The following is a 26,260-nucleotide window of genomic DNA, read 5'->3' on the forward strand; positions in this document are numbered from 1 at the left end:
TTTAACCATTGCATGCCTGACTTCAAAGCTCTTTGCATTACTGGCTTACTGATGGGTATAGTCCAAGCGCTCCCCTCCCCACCAAGTCTGCCATCCTTCTCTTGTAGTCACAGTATGAAGTGGACAACAAAAGAGAGATAGATGTAGAGATAGATTTTATTAAGACAAATTACACATTTTACTATATTTTTCCTTTCTAAAACCCTCACCATCAAAGATTGATCCCACAGAATTTCTAATTCAAGAACACTCATTTCATAAAACATTTCAGAGATAGAAGGAGAGAAAATATTAATGCTAGGCAATAGATTAAAAGGTGTCCCCTCCAGGGACCCGGGATGATCAGACATTCCTTCCTAAATGGCATCCTAGTCACTTTCCTCCACCTCTCCACTCTCATTTATCTTTCCACCCAACAATAGCATCCAAGTGTCAGCAGAGGGCCCAGAGATGGGCAGGTGAGTCAGAGGTTGAACCTCCTTCTGAGCCTTTACCCTCCTCTGTCCCAACCTCTTGTGGCTATCTGTTTAGGTTAATAACTGCCAGGCAGCCGGAGAGGAGAGCAGGAAGACACAAGTTTCTCTGTGGTTTCCTTTCCTTATTTCAGGACTCCCCAAGCCTTTACCCATCCCATCAGCACCCACACACACACACACGTGCATTTTAATAATGTAATAATCCCTCTATAAGTCTCAGTTTCCAATTCCAAGCATCGTTTACCTTCATCCAAAACAACAGCAACCCATTATGGATCCAGTGAATACAGAGACCAGGCCAATCCCTGGGGAAGGCAAGGCTTTTCTACAGCCCCCACTTGGCAGTCTCATTAGGGGCACTAGGGAGACATAGGAATCTCTGCGCTCTTTAAATAAAGGCCCTGCCAAGAGAGCTGGAGATTCCCCTACTATTTCCTTGCCCCTGCTAAAGCCTCCAGGAGAGAGAGATCTGGGGGCCTCCATAGCTGTCATCACACCTCCTCTTGGCACTAAGTTGGCAGTCAGCAAAGGAAGTAAATAGGAGGGGAAAATAGTTTTCCAGTGTTTTCTCTCCATTTTTATTTTCATCTTCACAGCAGAATTTTTTTTTCCACAAGGGGAATCTGAGAAGTACAATGCTTTCTTTGTTTTAACAAGGCCTGGGGAAATTCCACTGGCCTCAGTGGCTGATGATCTGGTCAGGGTTCGAGAGAGGACAACAGCTTCTTGGATATTCCTGTTGGTAAGGCCTTCAGGGAATGGCTGGGTGAACAGCCAAGGGAGAAAGGGAAGGGATGGTTTCTATCATTGGATTGAACTGTAAAGGAGCTGCAGGGTGACAGATGTTGGCAGGAATTCCAGTAGAGTTTGTGTGTACAGTGACTCCCTAGCAGGGCTGACACCTGCACAGGCTAGGTGTACACCCTAGCAGAAGGAAAGGTTGCAACATCACCAAGGTGGGGCATTTGCCAGAGGTACATACCAGGGCATTTGCCAGAGGTACATACCAAGGCATTTGTAAAGCTGAGGCTGCTGGTAAAGTTCCAAGAAGCCCTTTTTAAGGCTGAGTAGAGGGAGGAGAAGCCAAGGGCAACCCAAGGCCATCTCACCACTACTCCGAGGAATGGTCCATGGAGACAACAGATTCAAGAGCACATATAATGCAAGTTCCTTGATTCATGCTGTCTATTGGCTGGGAACTTTGAGCTCTTCCTTGGAGGAGGGAGGGTGATCAGGTCAAGGAGGTAGGAACTTAGAGAACGCATTTGGTATGCTGCTGGTATGTAGAGAGAGAGTCATTCTATCCCTCTGGCTATCCCTTCCAGGCCAGCTTTTGCCATGCTTCCCTTCTTTCCCTCTACCCTGTTTCATGAGTAATCTGAAAGGCTTCGTATACTGGGTAGAGGGTGGGGAGGGAACTGCAGTCTGGGTGGGTTGTCACCTCTCTTACTATCCCAGAGCCCTGGTTATAGTTTCTAGAATTAATGAGCAACGTCATTGAGACCCGGGGCTCAAAGGAGCCAAGCAGTGATGACAGTGAGAAAGCATCAGTTCAGAAGGGACACGTCTTTCCTCTCTGAGCCTCCTTTGTTCCCACCTGGTCCTGATCCTCCCATAAAGGAGGGTCACACTGATAGGTCATCTGACCTTGCCTTGCTGCTGGCCTTACTAAGACGTCGCTTGTCACTATGATAGCCATGGGGAAGGCGGTGACCTGGTGAGACTCCATTGGGCACCTCAGGCTTCTGGCCATAACGAACCTGGATGAAACCTTCCCCAGGAGTCTGCTCCTGACCTCGTACTTGCTCGGTGACCAGGTTGTCTGTGTTTTGTTGGGAGGCCATATTATTGCTGAAGGGATTGAAGAATTTTCCCCCAGGGCCATTCTCCAGGCACTGATTAAAGTCGGGGGGTGGTGTGCAGCTCTGGACTATGCCCACAGAGGGGCCAGAAAGCTGGCACTTAGCCATGTGCTGCCGCGGTTTGACAAATCGCTGTCTGATCTTCTTCCAGCCCAGGTGGTAGAGTTCAGCCAGGCTAAGGAGGAGGGACAGTGCAGCCACAGCCAGCATAAAGACAATGAAGACATTCTTCTCTGTGGGCCGGGATACGTAACAGTTGACCGGGTGGGGACAGGGACTCCTGCGGCAGACATGCAGGGTGGTCAGGAAGATTCCGTAGATGAAGTACTGGCCCACAATGAAGCCCACCTCCATGGTGGTGCGGATCAGGATGCTGCACACATAGGTGTTGAGCAGAGTGCCCTGGAGGGCAATCCTTCCATTCCCTTCCTCCCAGCAGGACAGTTCTGCCTTCTCTGCCACCGGGTACTCGTAAGAGCCAGAGCCCCGGACCTCTTTGGCCCTCTCGGCCTCCCGTAGCTTGCGCTTCTCCTGCATGCGCACAGTGTGCATGGCGTGGCCCATGTACACCAGAGAGGGCGTGGAGACGAAGATGATCTGCAGCACCCAGTAGCGAATGTGGGAGATGGGGAAAGCCTGGTCGTAGCAGACATTCTGGCAGCCAGGCTGAATCGTATCACACCGGAAATCAGCCTGCTCATCCCCCCAGGAAGACTCAGCAGCTGTGCCCAGCACGAGCATACGGAATATGAAGAGGACAGTGAGCCAGACCTTGCCTACCACGGTCGAGTGCTTGTGTACTTCCTCCAGGAAATTTCCCAGGAAGCTCCAATCGCCCATCTTGGCACAGCCAGGGAACAGATGCCAAAACTTCTGCAAATGGGAGAGAGAGAAAGAGAGAAAAGAAGAAGGATGTTCTGTGAAGGTCTGGAATGTCTATCATGTTCTGGGATTCCACTGATCCATCCATCCAATGGGTTCTTTAAGAAAATGCAACTTAGAAGTCAAAGCAACCAACGAAAAGCTCGCTCTCCTTTCCCAGCAAAAATAAAAAGAAAGAGAAGATTCAAAGTAGCCATATTAGCAAAATTAGAGCATGGCTCCCACACTTTAACGGATCTAGAAATCGTGGTGTGTGTTACAATATGGATTCTGCTCTTGCCCCAGTAATTCTACTTCAGGAGGTCTGGGATGGCCCCCAGGAATCTGGATTTACAACAAGCAGCCCAAGTAATTCTGATGCAGGCGGTGAGGGACCGCACCTGGAGAAACACGAGTATTAAAAAGAACACAAGACTGGGGTCTGCAAATGTGACTCTGGGCATTTACCTCACTGAGTCTGTTTCTTCATTTATCGAATGGGGATGGGAATAGCTACACCAGAGAATTCTGAGGATTAAATGATATGAGGTGTGTGATATTCTGAAAATCATTCCACAACTGTTCCAAATGTTTAAATGGCTGTTGGATGGAAAAGGAATTTTTTTATGGCTCCAGAGGGCAGAACTAGGTGGAGGAGGAAAGAGTGAGGATGGGATTGGCAAATTTGGCCCCTCAGGAAGCACTCTGCAAAAATCAGAACCATCCAGCATGGACCAGCTGTGTTGGGAGGTGGCAAACAAAAAGTGTGCTTTGGTCACACCAGCTAACAGTATCACAGATGAGTGCTCACTTCCCCTGGCTGGTAAGGCAATGTTGATCTCCCATGCCTCGGTGCAACACAGCCATTCCAGCCACACAGCTCAGCTCGCCCTGCTGCTAAGTTTCTGTGTCTCATTTAAATAAGGTTCCCACACACAGATCTGCCCACCCTTATGTCCAGAATAAATGTCCCAAAACTTTATGTCCCTTACAAAATCCTCCCTCATCTGGCCTTTGTCTGCTTTTCCAGCCTGTTCCTGCCTGTCCACATGAGTTCCTTTTGTCCAGCCATGCCAAGTCTTCCCAAATGCCCTCCTTCTGTACCCCTACATGTCCCCTCACCCCTAGCTGAATCCCATTTACCTTTCAAAACTTAACCCAGTCATTGCCTCCTCCAGCCCTCCCTCCTCCCTCAAGCTGAGCCTCTTCAGCTCCTGTGATGGCCCCCGGGACACTTACTCGTCTCCCAGTGCTTGCTGCCTTGTGTTGTAATCCTCTGCCTGTCTGTGTTCTCCCAGGAGGGACTGTTTGAAAATGGAGACTGTCTTTTCTTCTGTATCACCAGAGCCTGGCCCAGAGTAGGTGTTTAATATATCTTAGTTGAGTGAATGAAGGAGGGGCTGACAGGCACTGTTGTTTCCTACCCAATAGAAAACCAATTCCCTGTTTCTTGCCTGCCTCCCATTGGCAGGGTGAAAAAGCCAGGTATCACTTTCTTAATCTCCTCTGCAGTTAGTTCTGGTAGGTGAGGTATGGGGAGAATCTAAAGTAGAGGGAATGCTCCAGAAAAGGTTTTTCTACCCCCCAGTAAATGGAGAGAGCCTCACTCACAGTGCTCCCATCCCCCTGTGAACAAGAGGGAACCTCACTCACAGTGCTCCCATCCCCTGGTGAACAGGAGGGAGACTACTCACAGTGCTCCCATCCCCCGGTGAATAGGAGTGAGCCTCACTTAGCCCCACCGCTTCCTGCCTGTGGACAGAGTTGTATGAACCAAGATGTCTAAAGCTGTCCAGAGAATCTCAGAAATGTCAACCAGTGCCCTGAGGCCTCTGAAGCAACTCTTGAGGCTCCCTACCTCCAGAATTCTTACTTAGTGAATAACGAATGTTCTTACAGTTTAAGCCTCTAACCATTCCTAACCAACAGGATGACAAACGTCTCGGAGGGAATGGAGCATAAATATTCCTTTCTTAGAATCATAAACCTCAGATTTGGGTGGGTCCTTAGAGGTTTGTCAAATTCAAACTTTGACCGTCATATCTTTGCTGCCAACGTGCTCCTGGTTTCTGTCTGAACATTCTTCATGCTTATGGGGAAAGATGGGGTCAGGGTGGTGCATTTCATAGTCCAGGCTTCCTCAGCTCTTGAGTTGATTGTTGCCTTGACAGGGACCAACCTCCTGGCCCTGTATTCTCTCAGACCCCAGGTCCCCAAACTTGAGAGTATACAGTGTCCCTGGGAATGAGGGAGTTCCTGAGTGAGCGGAAAGCATCTTATCTCTGCTCCTCTCTATATCAAAGACCCATGCAGGTCTTGAGGCCTTTCCTGTCATTTGTGATCAGACATCTGCCCCATTTCCTTAGGTGGCGAAGCGCCCCCTCTTTCAGCCTCCAAATGTGGAAAATTGTGGAGCATGTGCTCAAAAGGAAAATGGCTGATTAGATAAGAGTTTGAATTGTCTGTCCTCTCTTCTGGGCACATGTACAGTGTTCAGCACCTTCAGGGTCAGCCACACACGTGCAGTGACTGAACTATGGTAAATGTCTGAGAAAAAGAGGGAGGGAGAGAAGGGGAGGAATAAAAAGAAGAGAAGAAAAGGGAAGGACAAGGGAGAGTTGGAAATGGAGAAAAAGACCATGTAGGGTTAAGAAAAGACAGATGCAGGAGTTAGCTTACTGAGGTTTGACAAATTTCTATTACCATCTGCTGGGCTTAGATAAATGATTCAATCTGTGTTCCACTTTCCTCACCTGCAAAATGGACATACTATTAACTCATAGAGTGCTATGAGATGATGCGTGCAAAGCACTTAACACAGTGTTCAGCAAATAAGAACTGAATAAAAGGTAGCCATTACTAGCAACAAGAGCAGTGGGGAAGGATGAGAGTAGAAGAAGGAGGGAAAAAGAGAAAGCAGAAAGTAGAGAAAGGTGCATTACAAAGGAGAAAAGAAATGGGAGCAAGAGTAGAAGGGGAGGAAATGAGAGGAAAATGGAAATAGAAAAAAAAAGAAACAAATGTCATATTCTTCCAGGATTTGGGGCAAGTTTTCCACACTCAGTCCCTGAAGACTTCTCCCTTGATCTTCTCACTCTGTCACTCATTCCTTGCAAGTCCCCAAGGAAGTATAAAAATAGTTCCAGGCAAAGAATGTGACCCTTTGGTCTAGTCTGCCAAGAGGCTTGACTGCTGACTCCTTCACTGCTGTCCAAGGAATTCCACCTGGAAGAGGTAAAGCACAGATACAAGAAAGGAACACCTTGGAAAACCAGAAAGGCAGTATTAGGAAGGATATCTTATTGGGAGGGAAAAAGAGAAACTATCTGAGGAGGTATAGGGGTGAGGCAGACCTCCTGGGCCCAGGCAGAGGAAATAGGGTGAAGGGTTTTTCATGTATGACTTCCTGCTGACGCTCAGGCAAGGTCAGAGAAACTTAAAATAGCTACCATGTACCAGATGCTCAGTTTATAATGTGAAAGGTCTCTGGCTGTAGTTACTTTTCCAGCTACGTTGGCTCCCTTTGGATACCCCATCTCAGCCAAAGAAATTTGTAGATTAGATACTCAGTGAGTTTACTGGGCGTATAGCATATAAAATACTTTGTAGATTATTATCTGCTTCTTGGCAGGAAGTGTATTAGGAGGGGCAAAGGAAGCTGCCCATGCCATGAATAAATGCTATCAAACACAATGGCAATTTACCTCACTGCTTTAGCAGTTATCCTCACTGGCTTCCTACCACTTAGAAAGTCCAAACTGCTTAACTTGCCATGTGAAACCCTGTACAGTCTTATGCTATCATTTTTCCACTTTTCCACTCACACACTCAATACTTAAGCTACACAATTTCACATGTACTTATGTGCATCTCACCATTTCTCACCCATTTATCTTGGCTTCTTATGTTCCCTCTGCCTAGAATGTCCTTTTTAAAATTCATTTAATACGTTTATTGAGTGGCTACAGGGTGCCAGCCATCATTCTGGACAATGAGGATACAGCAGGAAGGAGGGGAAACAAACAAGGGATTCCCTGACTTCACTGAGTGTAACTGCCTTTATACCCCTTTATTAACAGCAGACATTAAATACATGATTTCAGTAAAACACAATGTGTGTTAACATAAAGGAAGTATAAGGTGTCATGGGAATGTGGGGCAGGAGCCTGAATCTGGTTTTTGGGTTTTGGGGAGAGTCCTAGGGAATTGCGTTCTAAAGCCCTCTGCCACTGATACAAGTTCTGAAATCAGCAAGGCAAAAAGAGATGGTCCCTAGAACCTGGAAGAGAACCATCCCAACTCTAAAGGTTCTTCACTCCCAAACCTTCAACATCCTCTTTCAACTTGTCCTATCCTGAGATAAAGCAAATTTTGGAGGGGCCACTAGGAAACTTGTTTGGCAATAGCAACATGGTGCTTAGATAAGAGGAAGAGGGCCAGAGGAAGGATTTTGTGTATAGTGAGCATGAATCATTTTATGATTTTATTTCATGTACTGTATGGCCAATGACCAGAAATAAAGCTCAGGCACCTACATTCTGAATCCAGTGCTTCTTTTTTTCTTTTTTGAGATGAAGTCTCGCTTTGTCACCCAGGCTGGAGTGCAGTGGCACCATCTCAGCTCACTGCAACCTCTGCCTCCCAGTTTCAAGCAATTCTCCCTGCCTTAGCCTCTGGAGTAGCTGGGATTACAGGTGTGTGCCACCACACCTGGTTAGTTTTTGTATTTTTAGTAGAGAAGGGGTTTCACCATGTTGGCCAGGCTGGTCTCAAATTCCTGACCTCAGTTGATCCTCCCGCCTTGGCCTCCCAAAGTGCTGGGATTACAGGCATGACCCACCATGCCCGGCCCAGTGCTCCTTCTCGTGGTCCCCCTACACGGCCAGTGTTTTTCAAAGAAAATCATTTCAGAGCAACCCAGATTAATCATAAACTCATAGCCAGAACCTCTTCCTCTGACTCCGCAAATCTACAGCAAAATGGATAAGTCTTCTAAAATTGACCTCAGCCCTCTTTGGTGTCCCCTGAACTCCAGAAGACTGAGCATCTGGTACATGGTAGCAATTTTAATTACCATCCAGCATGGAGGATACATCCTCACACTTGGTTATATATTTCCTTAGACTTGTTTTCCAAACATTTGTCTATCAGCCAACCTGCAGATACTTTGCTGAGTCCCCTTTATGTGCCTACCACTGTTCTGAGTAATGAGAACAGTACCAAAGAGGTGCAAGGCCTGACACACACTGGGCACTCAATGGTGTCTATTAAATTAATAAAATCGGCCGGGTGTGGTAGCTCATGCCTGTAATTCCAGCACTTTGGAAGGCCGAGGCGGGCAGATCATCTGAGGTCAGGAGTTTAAGACCAGCCTGGCCAACATGGTGAAACCCCATCTCTAATAAAATTCAAAAATTAGCCCAGTGTGGTGGTGGGCACCTGTAATCCCAGCTACTCAGGAGGCTGAGGCAGGAGAGTTGCTTGAATCCGGGCGGTGGAGGTTGCAATGAGCTGAGATCACGTCAGTGCACTCCAGCCTAGGCAACAGAGTGAGACTCCGTCTCAAAAAAAAAAAAAAAAAAAATTAATAAAGTCAGGCATGATTCCTTCTGTCAAGTATTTAACAGCTTTTTCTCTCAAATGGGTAGTATGCTTCTCAAAGTTAAAAGCCCTGTCTTCTACTTTGCATTCTTATTGCATTAGGTTCTCTCATTTGGTACACAATAAATGCTTTCTTAATGATTGAAGAAAATGTTTGGCTAGCAGTAAGATTGCAAAGAGGTCCTAAGGAGGCTCAAGTCTTTCTTCTTAAGGTCAGCAGTAAAAATAAAACCTCACAATAAATAAATAAAAATAAAAGCTTACATACTGTTCAAAATGTGCTTCTACATTCTCTTGTTGGTTCCAAGAGAGCAGGATCATATTTGTTCTGTTCAAGACCGAATACCTTCAGAATGTTATAGACATTCAATTTTTATTGTTGAATGAATGAATCCTCATAACCACTCTGTGGGGTGATTGTTATTGCCTGTGTTTTGCAGAGGAGGAAACATATAAAAGTGATTCGTTCAAATAAACAATTAATGGGGGAAGAACCAGGGCTTCATTCCAGAGTTTCTGTTCAAGTCTGGTGCATGCCAGAAAGTTTCATTCCATCTCCCCTCCAAGAGTGGAGCTCATCAATTCTTAGACCTTCGAGAGGACTTCCCAGTGGAGATAACTCTGGTGTAGGAGTTAGGGGTATGTGATGTCTGTAGGGGTGTGGAGTGGATGGAGGAGTTGCAGAAGAGATGAGGGGATTTCAGACAAAGGCAAGACTGCATGAACAAATTCATTGAAATGAAAACCAGCATGGTTTTAGAGTACAATGAGCAGAGCATGGAAGGAGAGTCTGCATAGCAGGCAGGAGCAGATTGTGGAGGGCTTTAACAGCCATGCCTAGGAGTTTGGAGTCATTCTCAACCCACATGATAGGCCATGCTTAGTCCATTATTTGCTCCTGAGGGCCTAATCTGAAGCCTCCAAATGGGGTTGGGGATGTAAAGGACTGCACAATTAGTAATGTCCATGCTTGTAGCAGTCTTTTAGTAGTGGCTGCAGCATCAACTAGGTAGGCTGCAGATGACAGGTACCTCCCAGCACACTTGCTGTGACTGCACCCTCGTCTCTCCTGCTTAAGAAGGTATATTGCTAGTGAGTGAGGCCCTACCATAGGGATGCCTTGAAAATTCTCTTCTTTCTCTTGATTCCAGTTCTGTCCTGTGGAGTCACACATAATAGCCTTTCTAATATAGTATTTTACAATAATTTCTGTGTCCCCCAAGTCAGCAGCTGGGCCTTGGGCTGAACTGTAAAGCCTTGGAGGTCTCACACACCTGAGAATTAGTTGCTCTACAGGCCATGTATTCTCTCTCCCACTCAACCCTGAGCTCTTTGAAGACAAACTGCTTTTCTGTTCATCATTGTATTATCCTCCTGAAATTCCCTCCACCCCAAACCCCTTAGTGCTCAATACCACACCCTGCACAGTGTGGTATGTACTTTATAAAAACAACGATGGATGAATTGATAGCATTTAGGTCTCTCAAAACACCTAATGCCAAATTGATCAAGGCAATTATTTACCGGTTGCTGAAGAAAAGGATGAGAATGCACACAGAGGCCAAGCAACACGTTGGGGCCATGCTGCATGTCAGTGGAGGGGCCTGCCTGGGAAGCTGGCATAGGGACACCTGCCCAATGACGATGGTGACCAGAACACCAGGGAGATGGAAGCCACTGAGTGTTTCTTCTACCTGTGACAGAGCCGTTCTCTCAGCAGGAATGAATGTGTCTCAAGCAGAAATTCCATCACTGTGGACTACTCTCTCACTGCCTCCTCCCCTCATAGTACTGGGGAACTTATCCAAGCTTGTCAAAATTAGATGACAAGACCACTCCACAGAGTCTGAGTCTAATTCTGGACAACGACACATGTTCTGGACAGTATCTAACAGATCTCTGGTTCTCCATAAAGGTTGTTATTCATAGTAATAATAACAACCCCCTGGGCCCATGCTATAATTCCACTCACCATACAGTGGAATGTGGTGCAGGGCAGAGTTCATTTGCTTCCCAATTAAGAAAATTCTGTTGTGAAAGGACCCAAAGGGCCTCACTGAAAGGCTGCCTGAGAAATAGTATCATATCAGTGCAGTTTAGTTCAGAAAGTGCTTATCGAGCTCCTCTGCCATGTCAGACATCAAGGTAGCTTTATAAAGCAAAGCACCAAGCATAACCTTTATGTCAGAAGTCTTTTGTACCTTATTAATTTGTGTACATGTTTTCTGATTTCCTCTCACCCCAATAATTTCTCCTTAAAATGGGTATGTAGGGAGAATTGCATGAGAAAGTGGTCTTGATCCTCAGCTACTTCAGTAATCTTTGTTATCCTTTGATATTCCCAACTACGTCTTCTAGTTTACCCAGTTACACACACAAAAAAAGAATTTGGATCTAGGTGATAATAATAATAATGGAAATAAAATAACACTCACTGACACCTTTCTATGTGCCAGACACTCTATAAGTGTCTTTCCATATCTGTTTTCATTTGATTCTCACAACAGCCTGAGGAAGTGGGGACTATTCTTTTTTTTTTTTTCTTGAGACAGGGTCTCACTTTGTCACCCAGGCTGGAGTGCAGTGACACAATCACAGCTCACTGGAACCTTGACCTCCTGAACTCAGGTGATCCTCCCACCTCAGCCTCCCAAGTAGCCAGGACCACAGGCATGCACCACCATACCCAGCTAATTTTTGTTATTTTTTTTTTTTTTTTTAGAGATGGGGTTTTGTCCTGTTGCCCAGGCTGGTCTCAAACTCTTGGGCTCAGACGATCTACCCACTTCGGCCTCCCAAAGTGCTGGGATTACAGGCATGAGCCACCATGGCTGGCCTCTCATCTTTTGTTACAGGGCTCAGAGAGGGTAACTTGAGCAAGATCACACTGCTAGTAAGAGCTCCCAGCTCATCTGACAGCAGTGTCCCTGCCTTGACAACTGTGCTAAACTCTATCTAAATCACTTGAAGTTCCTTCTTTGGAAAATCCTAACCAGTCAAAGGCTGGCCACTTTTATATAAGATGATTGAAGCAGGAATGTTCATTGAGATCATTGTTCGGATAGGGAGTTGATTGTAGGTGACTGGTGCTAATTCTTACATTTAGGATTTTCATTCTTTTCCTGATTTACATTTGGGGTAACTACTTCAGCCTCAGGAGAAATGATCAGGCATGTGATGTAACTGTAGCTACTGAGCTGGGCAGTGTGGGCACCTTCCTCAGAATTAGAAGTCCACTGAGGGCCAGCATCCCTGAACCTTGTTCATTGTAGAGGGGAAAGGAAGATAGAGATAAGAGAGGAGAAGAGATGAGTGAGATGAAGTACTCACTTCAGTCTTCCTCTTACTCTGGCCAGTGGCACCAATGGCAGATAATTAATTCCTTTTTAAATTTAATTATTTTATTCTGGCAAGAACAGATGGGTCCACTCAGAGACACCCTGCTGGCAGACAGTTGTTTCAAAGCCAAGGAAGTAGAAGGGAGTAAAGTGCAGAAAGAGATTCGTGCTAGGATAAATAATTTTCTTAAACTGTTGGAAGAAAAAATATGAAAAGTGAAAGAAAGGGAGTAGTAAATGGAGATATTAAATGTCAACAAAATATTGGTAGGTCCTTATTAATTGCTCCAAGGGGGTAACTTAGTACCCATGCAATTAATTACTAATGAAAATTATAATACCCACATTTCTTTATTATTTTCCCCATTTGTCATAGATTTATAGTGCAGTAGAGCTGAACGGAATGTAGAGATCAATCAAACTCAACTCCTTATTTTTAAACAAGATGACAAGGGTCCAAGGAAGTAAAGTAAGAGTGATAACAACACTAACTTGAGTATTTCCCATGTGTGAAGCCCTTTATAACTATACTTTCTAACCCTCCCATTAACACTGCAAGGAAAGTAGTATTGCCCCATTTCACTGATGAAAAAACTGAGGCTCAGAGGCTAAGTACTTGTACTAAGTGCCACAACTGGCAAATGCTGCATAAAGGGTTTGAATCCAGCTAGCCTAACTCTAAAGCCCACATCCTCTCTACATCTCTGACAAGAGAAAGAAAACCAAGGACTAGGACTGATAGATGATGATAAGCCCGTGCCCAGAACTCCAGTCTCTTAACTCTCAGAGTTATCATCATCTATTTTTCCCACTTTACCTTGCCTCAGAAGAGACCCAGCGTTTTTCCTTTTAGCTTCTGCCTTACTGGCTGGCCATCCCTTACATATGCTGTTCCTAGAATTAATTATTACATTGGGGCCCTCAGCCCACAGTGGTCAGGATTCCCAGACTCTTCGGCCTCTGCCATCATTTGGCCAGAATTCACATATAGAAAGTTATTTCCTTTTTTAGCCAGCAAGTGTTCTTGGCTGCAGCAGTGTCTACTGCCCGGTTCTTGGCTGGCCAAACAGCAGGCTCTGGTGTTCCATTGATGTGAAATCATAACAAGAACAACAGAAACAGCAATTATTAGGCGGAGGAACTTCCGGTCTCTAAGGACTAGTAGGGCTAGGACCCTGCTTGCATCACTCTCTAGTAGTGTAACCCTAGGCAAGTCACTTATCCTCCCAATTTCTAACTCATCTAACAAATAGGAATGTTTATTCATGGGGATAACGTAATGTGTGGACATGTGGAGTCACCTAGAACAGTATCTGGCATATAGGCACTCAATGATATTAGTTCCTTGTTTTCTTTTCTGACATTTCCAGTAAAAACTCCTCTCAGACATGATCCAACTAGCCAACTTGATGCAGAATCTGATAGTGCTTCAGGCTGGTTAGTGACACAGCAAGGACCCTCATGTGGCACAGGTAAAAGAGGGTAACTGTCAGAGATGGGAAAAACACAGACAATGGAAAGTATAGGAATTTGTCTACAAATTAGTTATCTCACAAGGCATCCAGACCTCCTGGGTCAAGTCTGGAGAATCAGGGAGGTGTAGGGCCCAATCAAATTAAGCCACTCTCATTCCTGTTTCAAGTCCAGCATGCCTCCTAATGTGTCCTTAACTCAAGATTTTGGGCCTGGAGTTGGACTCCACATGGCTCCATATTATAAAATGTATGCCTCATGGGATGCCTCTCTTCTGAGAAGCTGCAGCACTTTTGAATCTGATCACCAAGCAGAAGGCACACTCACAATGAGAGGTTTGAAGCAGGCTCAGTTCTACTTGGAAGAGAAAGAGGGGGTTGTCTACTCTGTGATCTGAGGGTAAGGGACATCTTGATCCCTAGCCACCTCTGTCCTCTCCTGAGGTTCTGAATCATGGAGTTGCCAGGTTGGAGTAAGATTCGGGAAATCCCCTGTGAAAATGCAATGTTATCATTTCATGAAGAGAGGCTCTTTTCTGGTTCCAGCTGTTTCTTTGTGATCCTAGACAAGATATTTCCCCTCCCTGAGCCTCACTTTGCTCACATGTGAAACAAAAGTGTAGAGGCTCTTCCATCTCTAAGTTAGAACATCTGGGGAGTCTGTGACTTGCCCAGTTGTGATAGCATGGCAAGTTAGTGGCAAAGCCAAGAAACAAGTCCAGAGTTTCTGACTTCTAGCTTAGAGGACAGCAGAAGGAGTCCTAGAAAAAAAAAATCTGTGGTCATAAAAAACCAGCAATACCTCCTTGGAATTATATGTCGTAGGAAGCCTTTCTATTTGATAGCCATTTAAAATATTTAATCCTCATAAAACCTTATGAGGAAGATATTTATTAGCATCTTTGGCAGATGAAGAAACTGAGTGTAAGAGACATTAAATAATTTCCCCAAGATCACACAGCTAAAATCCTAGCCAAATGTGACTCCAAATGCCCAGGTTCTTCCTTCGGCCCTACCCCTCAATTAGATAAACTCTAAGGTCCCTCTGTGATTTTTTCAATACCTCTCATTCTGCGACCTCCTGACTCTCAGTGGACTGTTGAATACTAAATTTTACTTGCCCATTATTTACTAATATATCAGAAACAATTTATTCTCAAAGTGCATCAAGCTGGCATCACCAGGAGCCAGCAGCTTCCAACAATAGTAAGGAAGTCAGCTTCCTTTCCAGGAACCCTGAAGCTTTCCAGGAAAATGGTCATCTCTCCCCTTTGTCCAGCTCAACCCTTGAGCCCAGGTTGGTGCTTATGGGAGTTCATTCACACAGAGAGCTACTGGAATCCCCAGTAAGTGAGTCCTTCCCTAGGACGGGGGCAGAGCTTTGGCCTTGGGTCTCCCTGTCCCTGAAAACGGCAGGTCATCCAGTTCCTGTCCTGATTGATCCACATAGACAGGTCCCCTGTCCTAAGAGGTGGGGTCAGCCAGTACCTGAGAGACCAGGCGGCACTGTGGCAGTGCCCTCCACTGCCTGTGCCCCACGAACAGCCAGTGTAGACGATGAAGAGCAGGTGGGCAGGTGGGAGTCAATACCAAAAAATGGAATTGTAGAGACACTCAAGTGGAAGAATCAGGGAGACTCAGGGAGAGATGGAGGCTAGGAAAATCCAGCCGGGGGATGGACATTAGAAGAGCCCTCGGTATGAGTGAGCAGGGCAGGGTGCTCTCCCAACTCAATCAGCCCTGACTCACTGTGTCGTCTCCTACGAGTCATGCCCTTCTCTAGTCCTTGTTCTCCTTATTTGCCAAAGAAGGAGGCTGGTAATGGAAGAGACCTCTTTCAGTTCTAATGTTCTCAGACCTTAGGCAGTACTAGGAGAGGGGACAGGAGTGAGGCAGTTAAGATGTAAGAACAGTGACCAGCTTCAGGAGCCCAGCAAGCACACCTCTGGGGTTCCAAGGCAGAGACAAAGCAGGGCAGCCTGATTCTGTGACTGCTGTGGCTCTGTGAACGTCACATGTGTGGGTGAAGGATGCTCAGAGAGTGTTGGGTTGGAAGCCACAGAATCCCCTCCTGGTACTCTCTGCTCTGCAGACTGTGGTCATTGGGACTCCTCACTGGCAGGTGCTGAGTGAGGAAAAGGCTTGGAGGGACAGCCAGGGGAGCAGGCTCCAAACAGCTCTGCCGCCGGGCAACTTGGCAGGAAGGTGGAAAGTTCAGAGCTGTCCCTAGAGAGCAGTGAATCAAGGACTGGGCTGGGCTTGGCTGTGACTCTGGGGACAGTGGGTGGAGGGGATGGAGGCTGCTTGGCCTGCTGATGTAAAAGTCAGGTTAGAAGGCCTCTAAATACCAGCTGGTGTCCCCAGCCATGAGCCACAGCACCAGGCAGTCAGAGGCGCTGCACCTCCACACGCTCCCCTTGGTCTCTTCTCTCCTTCAGTTTTGCTGGTTCCAGGTCTTCTGACTCCCTGTTCGGTGCTCTTTGCACTGCCCTGCCTCCCCACGCAGCCAGCTGGACCTCTTTGCACCAGAGCCTTTTTCCAGAAACAGCAGCCCCAGTGATTTGCTGGGGAGTGAGAACAAGGAATCCCTCTATTATAATGGAATACTGCGAGGGAGAATAAGGAAAAAACTGAGCAACAGAGCAGGATGAGAAATTCTTGTGTTGCGCCTCCCTTTTTCAGTGGTTCTGAGTTGCCTTTGAGCCTATGGAATCACAGCCTTACACACCGTTACTGCTGAATGGAACCAGAGGGAACCTTCTACTTCAAATTCCCCATTTTATAGATGAGGAAACCGAGGCCCAGCATGGGGATGTGTCTGCTACAAGGCCTCCCAGCCCCTGAGTTTGGGCTCTTTCACTGCATGCTCAGAAGAAAGGTCCAGGAAGAAACTAACAGAATCTTTCTACCCCATGGCCTCCTACTTCACACCACAAGTGGAAAGGAGACCTTCAGTGGGTGCTTTCCTGGCCTTCCTCGCTGGTTTCACATGCCTCTTTCCTCCGGCTGCAAGTGGCAGCCTGGATCTCTCACATGTGGCCACTGCACAGCGGGGACATGATACTCTGCAGGAAACTAAGCAGGGAATATTTTTAAACCATCCAACATGCCTTAGGGAGAAAAAAAAAAAAAAAAGCAAAACACTCCCCTAGATGCTGCTAAAGGCATTTTGAAAAAGATTCCATGCCTAGCAGAAGCATCGTAAAACAGTGTTGGTTTTATTTTTAAAGGGCCAATTCCCTCTAAGAAAAGTTCTTGGGAATGGACTGGTGACCCACTTCTAAGATGCCCCCAGAGGACTGAACTCCACAAAAGTAGGCTGGAACCCCAAGGGCCCTCCACTCGCAATTCTTCATCTCCCTCTAAATCAAGGAAGTAATTTATCTGCTGCTTCGCTAAACCTTCCTTTTTAATATATCCATACCTCACTATCACAGGAAATAGCGGGAGGGGTAAGGAATAAACTCACAGGTAGAAAGAAAGAGCTTTGTTTTTATCCAGCCTAGAATCCAAGCTCCCTTCCTCTGGCTACTTCATATCCACTTGTAGCTTTAGCTGTTCAAATTCAAGTCTACTCTTACCTGCTTCTTTTCCTCCTCCCTGGACTTTCCTTCCGTGGGCTTCTTCACACTCTGGCTGCTTCTTCTCCAACTGCCCACGCTTTTTGCTCTTGAGCCTGTCAGTTGTTCCTCTTCCACCCTCTTTTTAATCGTATCTGTCGCCTTCCCTCCTCCCACTTCTTCCTACTCTTTCTCTCTCCACCCCTTTTCCCCTCTGAATCCCTCCCTCCCCTCTCTCTCTTTTGTGCTCTTAGAGTCTTTGCTCTAAAAGTCTTCTTCCCTCCACCTCCTCGTAGCCTCAGCTCACTGTGCTCCCCTTCTCTGGCCCCCAAGGAGGCAGAGCCCCCTCCTCCCTGCAGCCCTCCCCCTGTCTGTCTGCCTGTTGTCCTTGTCCTCACAGCAGTCCTCCACATTGCCTCTCCCCCGGGCCGCTGGTGCACCACCTCCCTAAGTCTCTTCCTGCCCACCCCTCTGCTGCGTCGCCTCAGACTTCCCAGGCCATGGCTTTCCTGGAGCATCAGCAGGAAAATTGGCACTGCCCAAGAGATCCCTCTTCCCATCCTTTTCCCGTCATCAGAAAAAAGAGGGTGTTCACTCACATAACAAGCCTTTTTTGGGATTTCCACTATGCCCACACCAATGAACTAAGCATAAGCCAGCACAGGAAAACACGGTCTCACAAGTCACAACCATCCAGCGCCCAGAATAGGCACCAGGACTAACCTGAAAGGAAAGAAATGCTAACCTCCCAGCTCCAAAAGTGTAGGGCATTCCTCACTCCCAGAATCATACTCTCTCCCCTTCTCCTCTAAAGAGAGGCGAGCACCTTCTACGCATCAGGCACTGGGCTAGAGACTTCATATATATATATATATTGCCTATTTTTATCTTAATCATTCTATTTTCCAATTCTATAAGGTAGACCTTTTCTGCATTTTACATTTGAGGAAATTGAGGTTCACAGAAATTAAGTAACATGATTATGGCGACCCAGTTTGTAAAGTAAGTGGTAGAATCAGGATTAGAAGTTTTCACCAATGCCAACATTTATCTTATTGCTCCTTCCGTGAAAGCAAACAGGTCTCCCAACTGGAATTGAACTGATGAAAGTAAGGTTGGCTCTTGTTAGATCACATGCCACAGGTGACCAAATTCAGAAACTGTGGGGGTATCTCTTCCCTCAAACCCTCCCATTCTCCAACTTCTCCCCCAGACTCCTCAACTTAAACACTTAGCCGTGGACCCAGTTGGAATGAGGTAAGTGTCAACAACAGAGGTTACTATGAGTGGACTGAAATCAGACAAAACAATGACTAAGAGCCCACAGATTATGAGAACTAAAGAAAATTTCAGTGATCATCTGGAACAGCCAGGGAAACTGAGGCCCAGAGAAAAGGCCACTTGTCAATGTCATATACAGTAGTATGTGGCAGAGGCAGGGCAGGAAGCCGGAATGGTCCCTTTGCTCCACATCATCACCTGAAACATGCCTTTCCCGCAAAGCACCGGTCACAAGCATTCCAAGATTCTGCAAAGATGTTTCCTTAATGGGCTATATTTTTCATGGGTGAATGAGCTTAGGATCAGCAAGAGGGAAAAGAGCAAGGGGCTGAATTTCCAGTTTCAAGGGAGGCAACAGCCCTGGTGAAAGGAAATGCAGGATTCTTGATTCCTTGGCCAGAGTTTACCCCACTTTTATGCAGCATCAGAGCAGATTCTGGGGCCAGCCTGACTGGGTTTGAATCCCGGCTCCGCCACTTACTAGCTGTGTGACATTGGGCAAGTTAACCTCTATGCATCTCAGTTTCCTCAACTCTAAATTGGGAATATTATCTACTTCACAGGGCTGTCATGAGGACTAACGAGTATGTGAAAAGCACATAGAATGGTTGGGAACATGGAGGTACTGTAGATGTGGCTGCAAAATAATAATACAATATACAATACAATGCAATGCAATACAATACAATACAATGCAATGCAATGCAATGCAATGCAATGCAATGCAATGCAATGCAATGCAATGCAATGCAATGCAATGCAATACAATACACAACCTCCTCCCTGCCTGTACTTGCCATGGCTGTACCAAAGTCCTGTGATGGAATTTAGCATGTGAAACCAATAGCAAGCCCTGCTTCTCCAAAACAGAGATGAGTTTCACACTGTGACTTTGCCCCTACATCCCAGCCTCTCTACAAGAGCAGGGGACACCTAGGAACACCTTATTATCTCCATCCAGGAGGTAGCCAGTTAAAGAACCCATAAAGTCTCAGCTGGGAGATAGTCTGAAAGTGGGAAAGGTTTAGTGGAATGTACACTCCTAGATCACTGGGCTGCCAGAGGAGAGATGATCTCGGGCAGGCCTGGAGATTACAGGAAAATGCCGTTTTCCTCTGAATGTGCAGAAGGGAAGAGCTGCCCAGATACAGACACACTCATGACCCTGGAGGGAGAGCAGGGTATACAAGGTAAATTTTCCCTTCGTGCTTGGCTGACAGAGAACTAAAGCAGTGAAGAAACTGGATGGCTTGCTAGAAAAGTCCAGGAAGTTCGCCTCAGGGCTGGGAGAAGGCTGAGGTCTCTGACTGTGATCATCCCAAGTCAATGAGGTCAAACAACTCTCCACCCGGGGACCATTCATCATGGCATCCAGGACAGCTACGTTGCTTCAGCAAGGGCTTCACAAATGTGGTTTATTCCGCACCTGGCTCAGGCAATGACTAACAAAAGTTGAAAGAAAAAAAAAAAGTCATTTGGGCTGTGGATGTGAGGTGATTCTCTAAAGGGGCTTAACCTGGCAATCACCACATAGCTAAGAAGGACCCCGTAAGCAGATATTCAATGCACCAGAGAAAAGGACAGGACGAGGGCCAAGGGTGGGAACTGAGGTTCTCCCATGCCCTCCCCTTCTTCCTCATATTTCACACAAGAAACGGTCTTAGAAAGAAGTATCAAAGTCTGTGTTCCACGCATTACAAAATATGGAGGACTCGGGATTTAGAGAGGAAGCCCAAATCCAGTCAAAGAATTAGTAAATCATACCTGTAAGGAAAAGCTGTAGAGGTGGGATTGCAAAATAAACTTTATTCAACATTTATTACATGCCAGGCATTGTACTAGGCACATTTCACATTCTTTTACTTTGAGATAAAAAGACAGAAAAATGACGTTATAAAGCCTTTCTCACTATAATCAGTGTCTTATCTCAACAGGAATCATTGGCTACTCCTATGGGCCCAGCCTATTCTATGTGAGAAACAAGGGCTCTCCCTGTCCACAAGGAGCTGACATTCTAGTTGTAGAAAAGAGCTATTGAGACAAAACAATTAGTATAAAGGGTAGTATCCTATATGTATGTGTGTCAGTGATGGTATAATGAAGTGCTAAATTATGTGAGAAAAAATCATTTGGGAAACAGCTTCGTACAGAGTGATCTCTTTGTTGTGCTATAATGAAGGGGAAGAAAAAGCAACATTTTTTATATTTAAATTAAATTTATTTATTTTAATTTCAGCTTTTATTTTTGATTCAGGGGGTACCTGTGCAGGTTTGTTACCTGGGCATATTGCAGGATGCTAAGGTTTGGAATACAATTGATCCTGTCACCCAGGTAGTGGGCGGGTAGTACCTGATGGTTTTTCAACTTTTGCCTCTCTCCTTCCCTCCTCCTTCTATACAATAGACACTACTACTCCCTAGTGTCTATTGTTGCCATCTTTATGTCCATGAGTACCCAGTGTTTAACTCCCACTTAGAAGTCAGAACACGGGGTATTTTGTTTTCTGTTCCCGTATTAATTTGCTTAGGACGATGGCCTCCAGCTGCATCCATGTTGCTGCAATAGCCATGATTTTGTTCTTTTTAATGGCTGTGAGGAACATTTATTGAAGGCCTTCAGTGTACCAGGTATTTTCACCTCACAACACTGTGAGATAGATAGTATGTTATTATTTCCATTTCATGGAAAAGAAAATTCAGGCTCAGAGAAGTGAAGTAACTTTCCCAAGATCACTCAATAAGTACAGAAAAGGTTCACCTGGTGCGAAAGATTAGGCACTTTCTCCCCATGGCTGTAGAAGAAATTCTCATGAAACCTATTGGCCTGGTAAGACAGGCGGGCACAGGGCCCTCCAGGTAGGAGCAAACAGACCTGCAGATAGCACAAGAAGAATGGACTCCAACCCTAGGAGAAGAGATTGTATTCAGCCCTGATTATGAAGGTGGTTCAGCACTGTCACTGATTTCCAGGAAGAAGCACCATCACCTTCTTCACAAGTCTTTTAAAACTGGCATACTGAAAATTGCTTCTTTTTTTTCTTCTCTCTAGTGGCAAGGGGGGGAAATGAGGAGACCTTCCAATGTCTTCTCTACCAAGTGAATCTCTGACTCTACAAGTTTCCTTCCCAAGACACTGTGGTCCAGGGCTACCTCCCTTACAGCCTACATGACAACATGTGCAAATTATTTGTCAGCATCTAATTGCAAGAACGGTGAGTCCTCCGTGCCTCATTGGAGGCCATAAATGGGTAATTGGAGCCACGGTTAGTGGGCTGAGGTCACACTTTTCTGCTGGTTAAGATGCAGACACCACAGGCATAAGCCGTCCCCTTTAAGACTTTTACTGGCTAAAAAGGGCAAGAACACTCTGTTCCAAGAAGCAGAAAGCAAAAGAAACACAGACTTCCTTGCTCCTGGTGTTTAGATCTATGAGCCTACTCTTATCATATCTCAAGTTTTAATCCCAAAGACAAGATCAAGATCATGTCCATACTTCTTAGGCTTAAGGCAAATGGAATCTTCTGGGATCCCAGGCTTAAGAACTCTTGTGGTGGGCTTGGAACAATAGCCTCCACGGACAGGAGAAAAGGAGAGGGAATCCACTACCAACCATGCCTAATTCTCTCCCACTGAAGTCAGGGCATGAAGGCAACAGCTGAGTGCAGCTTCACTTGAGCTCTGAGAGTCCCAGGACTGGGGATTTTAATCTTTCTTTCTTTCTTTTTTTTTTTGAGACAGAGTCTTGCTTTCTTGCCCAGGCAGGAGTGCAATGGCACGATTTTGGCTCACTGCGACCTCTGCCTCCCAGGTTCAAGCAATTCTCCTGCCTCAGCCTCCCGAGTAGCTGGGATTACAGGTGCCTGCCACCACGCCCAGCTAAATTTTGTATTTTTAGTAGAGATAGGGTTTCACCATGTTGGCCAGGCTGGTCTCAAACTCCTGACCTCATGATCCACAGGTGTGAGCCACCACACCCAGCCTGGGGATTTTATTCTACAGCAAAAAATTAGACCTTGGCCTGGGAGATCTTGGAATGGCATTTGCTCTCTACATCCAGAGGGAAATCTCTGAAAGCAAGAAGACTGAGAGCCTCATATTTTGGTCTGATTATAAGCAAGGTCTAGAGTTTGTAGTGCACCCCAGGTATACATTCCTTCCTCTTCTAACAACTTATGCATCCTTGATCCACACTCCCTACCTACCTCACAAGACCAAAAAGGTCTTGCTTTTCTTTTATTTTGAAAGGTGTTTCAGTCATGTCCAAGATATAGTATTAGGTGGTCTATTGAAAAAAAAAAAGTCGTAAGACACAAGATCAAGAAACTTTCTGCCAAATATGCTGTTAACTCAGACACCCTCAGACATGTCACTCTGAAATAGAGGTATTTCCTTGTGTGTAAAAGTGAGGTACAATACCCTGTACCTGTCCTGATAATTTAGCCATTGATGTTCAAAGCCTAATTCAATAATGATATGGTTAGGCTTTGTGTCCCTACCCAAATCTCATCTTGAATTATAATCCCCATAATCCCCATGTGTCAAGGGAGAGACCAGGTAGAGGTAATTGAATCATCAGGGCAGTTTTCCCCATGCTGTTCTCGTGATAGTGAGTGAGTTCTCATGAGACCTGATGGTTTTATAAGGGGCTCTTCCCCCTTTGCTCAGCACTTCTCCTTCTTGCCACCGTGCAAAGAAGGTGCTTTGCTTCCCTTCACCTTCCGCCATGATTGTAAGTTCCTGAGGCCTCCCTAGCCAGGTTGAACTGTGAGTCAATTAAAACTCTTTCCTTTATAAATTACTCAGTCTCAGGCAGTTCTCTATGGCAGTATGAAAACGTACTAATACAAATAACAAAGGTTTTATGTTTCCTCCCAAATTAGTGTCTAGAGTCAACGTTAGCTCCTAGGGTCAAGCTATTATACAGGATTAGAGGCATTTAGGAGATTACAACTTTTCCCTGGTTTTTCAAAGATTAGTCACATGTTCACTTGGCTGAATACACAAGGTAGAATGGACAGGACTTGAGGCAAATAACCTTGTGGTTAAGAGTACTCAGGTTCAGATTTTGGCTCCACCACTTGGCAGCAATGTGACCCTCTATTTCTATATCCTTCTTGCTTTTAAAATGAGTATAACAATGGTAGTTTTTGGTTGGCTATGAAGATTGAGTGAGATATATGTCATATTTGGCATGTAGTGAGTGCTAAATATTCTCTATCATATATATTGTATATAATATACAATATATACCTCTCTATATATACATACATAGCTAAATATACAGAGAGATAGATATATAGATACAACGAATCATGCCATTTATGCTGAAGATAAAAATTAAATTATAAATGGGAGAGTACTCTGAAAGGAGATAAGATTTCACAATGGAAACATGGGTTCTGATGATTATAGCTCTAACTATTGTGCCCACCTTCATTGCCTCCTTTGAGCAAGGCCACCAGATACAGCCAAGCAGTTTGGGCACTGCACACATCCAAAGGCACCATTCACATATAACCTTCCCTTTGTACCTGAGAGCACATGGCAACTACTCTTCAGGTAAGCCTGTGCTTCCCTCACAGTTGTTCCTCCCAGAGTCTGAGGAACAGCACCTGCTCTATAGAGCCATTCACTCATTAGTCCTTAATTCAGTGAAGGTATACTGAGAACATACTCTGTGCAAGGACTGGGCATACAAAGATAAATGAAACACAAACTCTGCCCTGAAGCTCCTGGTGGCTAGGGAGAGAGTCCTGTGCACCAAGAAGTAGAATGCAATGTAAAGAGTGCTAAAGTGCATCTATGTACAAGAGATTAGAGGATTGCCAGCTTTCTTTCTACATGGCAGTGGTCATGGACAGGGGTAGTGTGGGGATTCACAGAAGCAAAAATGAGACAAGTCTAACTCTCTTAAAAAAAAGTTCTCATAAACACCATTTTTAAAAGTCAAGAAAAAGTCAATGGGGTACAGTTTCTTCAGAGAAATCCAGTGGGGATCTTTTGTTGTGGCAGGAAGGGACTCTACTAAGAACCTCTAGCAGAGGCACCTCTGGTAGAAGGAAGGTGCAAAAATAGCTCCCCTAATACCAGCCCAGACCAGAAGAAAGGACAGGGATTTATCACTCATACAGTAAATTTGAAATGTAGATTCTTACCTAACATGAAGATTCCCTTCTCAGGGGATAGACCAAATTCCCTTCTCGGGGGATAGACCAAAGCCCGCCAGCTTTAGACAGATGCCTTCTCTTTGCATCTTCATAGCCTCTTTGAGAGAGGTGAACTTGGAGTCAGGAGATCTGAGATGGAATTTTAACCTTGTCCATTTGTTGTTTTGTGATCTCAGGCAAGTCAATAAGCCTCAACTTTGTTGTCATAATAAGAATTAAGAATGGTCATAATAAGATGGTCTTCACAAATTTGTTCTTTGGACACCAAACACCTTAGTTATTGTCATATGCTCTGGGATAGAGGTGAGATCTTAGGAAGGAGGCAGAGACAGCACAGAAGTCCCTCCATTCACAAACAGGGTCTGCCCACCATCCTTTAAGGAGCCTCTGCAGCTTGTTTATAAAGGAGATCTTGTCCTGAGAGCATTATGCTCCTGAGCTGGCCAGCTCAGCCCTTCCCTGGCTCCAGCGCCTTCATTTGTAAAGAAGGAATTCCAAGGCTATCAAAAAGGAAGTCAGATTGTTTTCGGAAAACAATAGCAAAGTAACTACAAGTCATTAGCTTCCTCTTTGGGGCCTGAAGTCAAGCTTGTCTGGGTAGCTGAAAGGACCGGTAGCACTGTTTACTTAAAGACCTCTGGACAGTACCTATAAATTAATTCCTGTGCATGACTTTCTGGAATGAGAGGAGGTGAGTCATGGAAGTGGGAGGATGCCTAAGAGTAGAGATTTCTGTTTCTTAGGACACAGCTAAATCTCTGATGCTGGCCTTGCCTTTTCTGGTCCTCTGGGTGAAAGTTTCATTTGGATATGTACGTGCACCTAACAGACATCTGCTGTCTGAGATGGCTCTTAATGAGTTTTTTTCCTAGAGCAAAAAGAAAAACAACAAAATATCTGTTTCCTGTGGGTCTCCTGAACGCCTCGAGGAAGCCAAATGCTTCTGAGACAGGTGCTGTAGAAATTGCCTTTTGAACAGGAATTTCCTCAGTGACAGGAGCAGACCAAAGCTGGGAATTGTGAAATTCATCACTCCTTAGAGGACTGTCTCAGTGTCATACAGATATCAAGGAATCACAGATACCAGAACACTGGAGCTTGAAGAGAAACTGAAGATCAAGTGGGCCAGATGAGAACATTGAAGCCCAGAGAAGGCAAGCAATTTATCTAAGGTCAGGAGCAGAAGCCAGATCTCCCAAAGAATCAGGAAACCTGGGGACTTCCCTGAGGGTAGAATGGGCCAGTTATTGATCATAGATATTCCTATGATGCTGTTAGAGCACTTAGCTGAAAGTCCCTGGAGCTTAAATTACTAAAATCTAGAGAAAAGGCATGGTTTCTTGACCTCTCTAGATCCTGGAACAGCTTGTATCCAAGAGCTACACATGATTCTAGACCCTAAAGTTTTCTGAGAAGAGATGCAAAACTTCTACTTGAGCTGTTTTTAAACATCTTTGGTAAAATCACGAGGATCTGTTGAGCTTAATGATTTGAAATTTAGTCCAAAGATTATCAGTATTACCTGCCTGGACCCCTAGAAGATTTTTGGTGGGCTTCATGGAGCATAGAAACCCCTGTGTTCATTTCAAAGCTTTAGGGGAAGAGGGACCACAGTCTTGATCTATTCATAAAGCACTCTTGA

At 45.3% G+C, this 26,260-nt stretch overlaps 1 protein-coding gene and 1 long non-coding RNA gene across 3 annotated transcripts in view, besides 1 other annotated feature; one reads left to right on the forward strand and one right to left on the reverse strand.

The window, feature by feature from the left end:
* Positions 1-26,260, forward strand: part of LOC102723321 (uncharacterized) — an 88,963-nt gene that overhangs the window by 55,333 nt on the left and 7,370 nt on the right. The window contains exon 2 of the long non-coding RNA XR_922079.4: positions 21,501-21,663. This is a non-coding gene — a long non-coding RNA (uncharacterized LOC102723321). The remainder of the gene's footprint in view (positions 1-21,500; positions 21,664-26,260) is intronic.
* On the reverse strand, positions 139-17,291 carry GJA5 (gap junction protein alpha 5). 2 transcript variants are annotated; one of them, NM_005266.7, is made up of 2 exons: positions 17,192-17,291; positions 139-3,211 (listed from the first exon to the last, which is right to left on the reverse strand). In NM_005266.7, exon 2 carries the CDS (start codon positions 3,176-3,178, stop codon positions 2,102-2,104), a length of 1,077 nt encoding a protein of 358 aa, NP_005257.2. In that variant the 5' UTR covers positions 3,179-3,211; positions 17,192-17,291; the 3' UTR covers positions 139-2,101. The 2 variants fall into 2 exon arrangements, with proteins under 2 accessions (NP_005257.2, NP_859054.1); NM_181703.4 differs by lacking the exon at positions 17,192-17,291 and adding an exon at positions 4,439-4,542.
* Positions 2,321-2,615: a silencer, noted in NCBI's record as "tiled region #3144; K562 Repressive non-DNase unmatched - State 21:Repr". NCBI's record gives its function as "represses a minimal TATA promoter and a strong SV40 promoter by Sharpr-MPRA in K562 cells {active_cell/tissue: K562}" and the evidence as "EXISTENCE:reporter gene assay evidence [ECO:0000049][PMID:27701403]".

Source organism: Homo sapiens, chromosome 1 (assembly GCF_000001405.40).
Source record: "Homo sapiens chromosome 1, GRCh38.p14 Primary Assembly".
Taxonomy (NCBI): domain Eukaryota; kingdom Metazoa; phylum Chordata; class Mammalia; order Primates; family Hominidae; genus Homo; species Homo sapiens.

Bases quoted from the DNA above. Each gene is read 5' to 3' on its own strand.
- GJA5 (NM_005266.7), bottom strand. From the start codon at position 3,178: ATGGGCGATTGGAGCTTCCTGGGAAATTTCCTGGAGGAAGTACACAAG.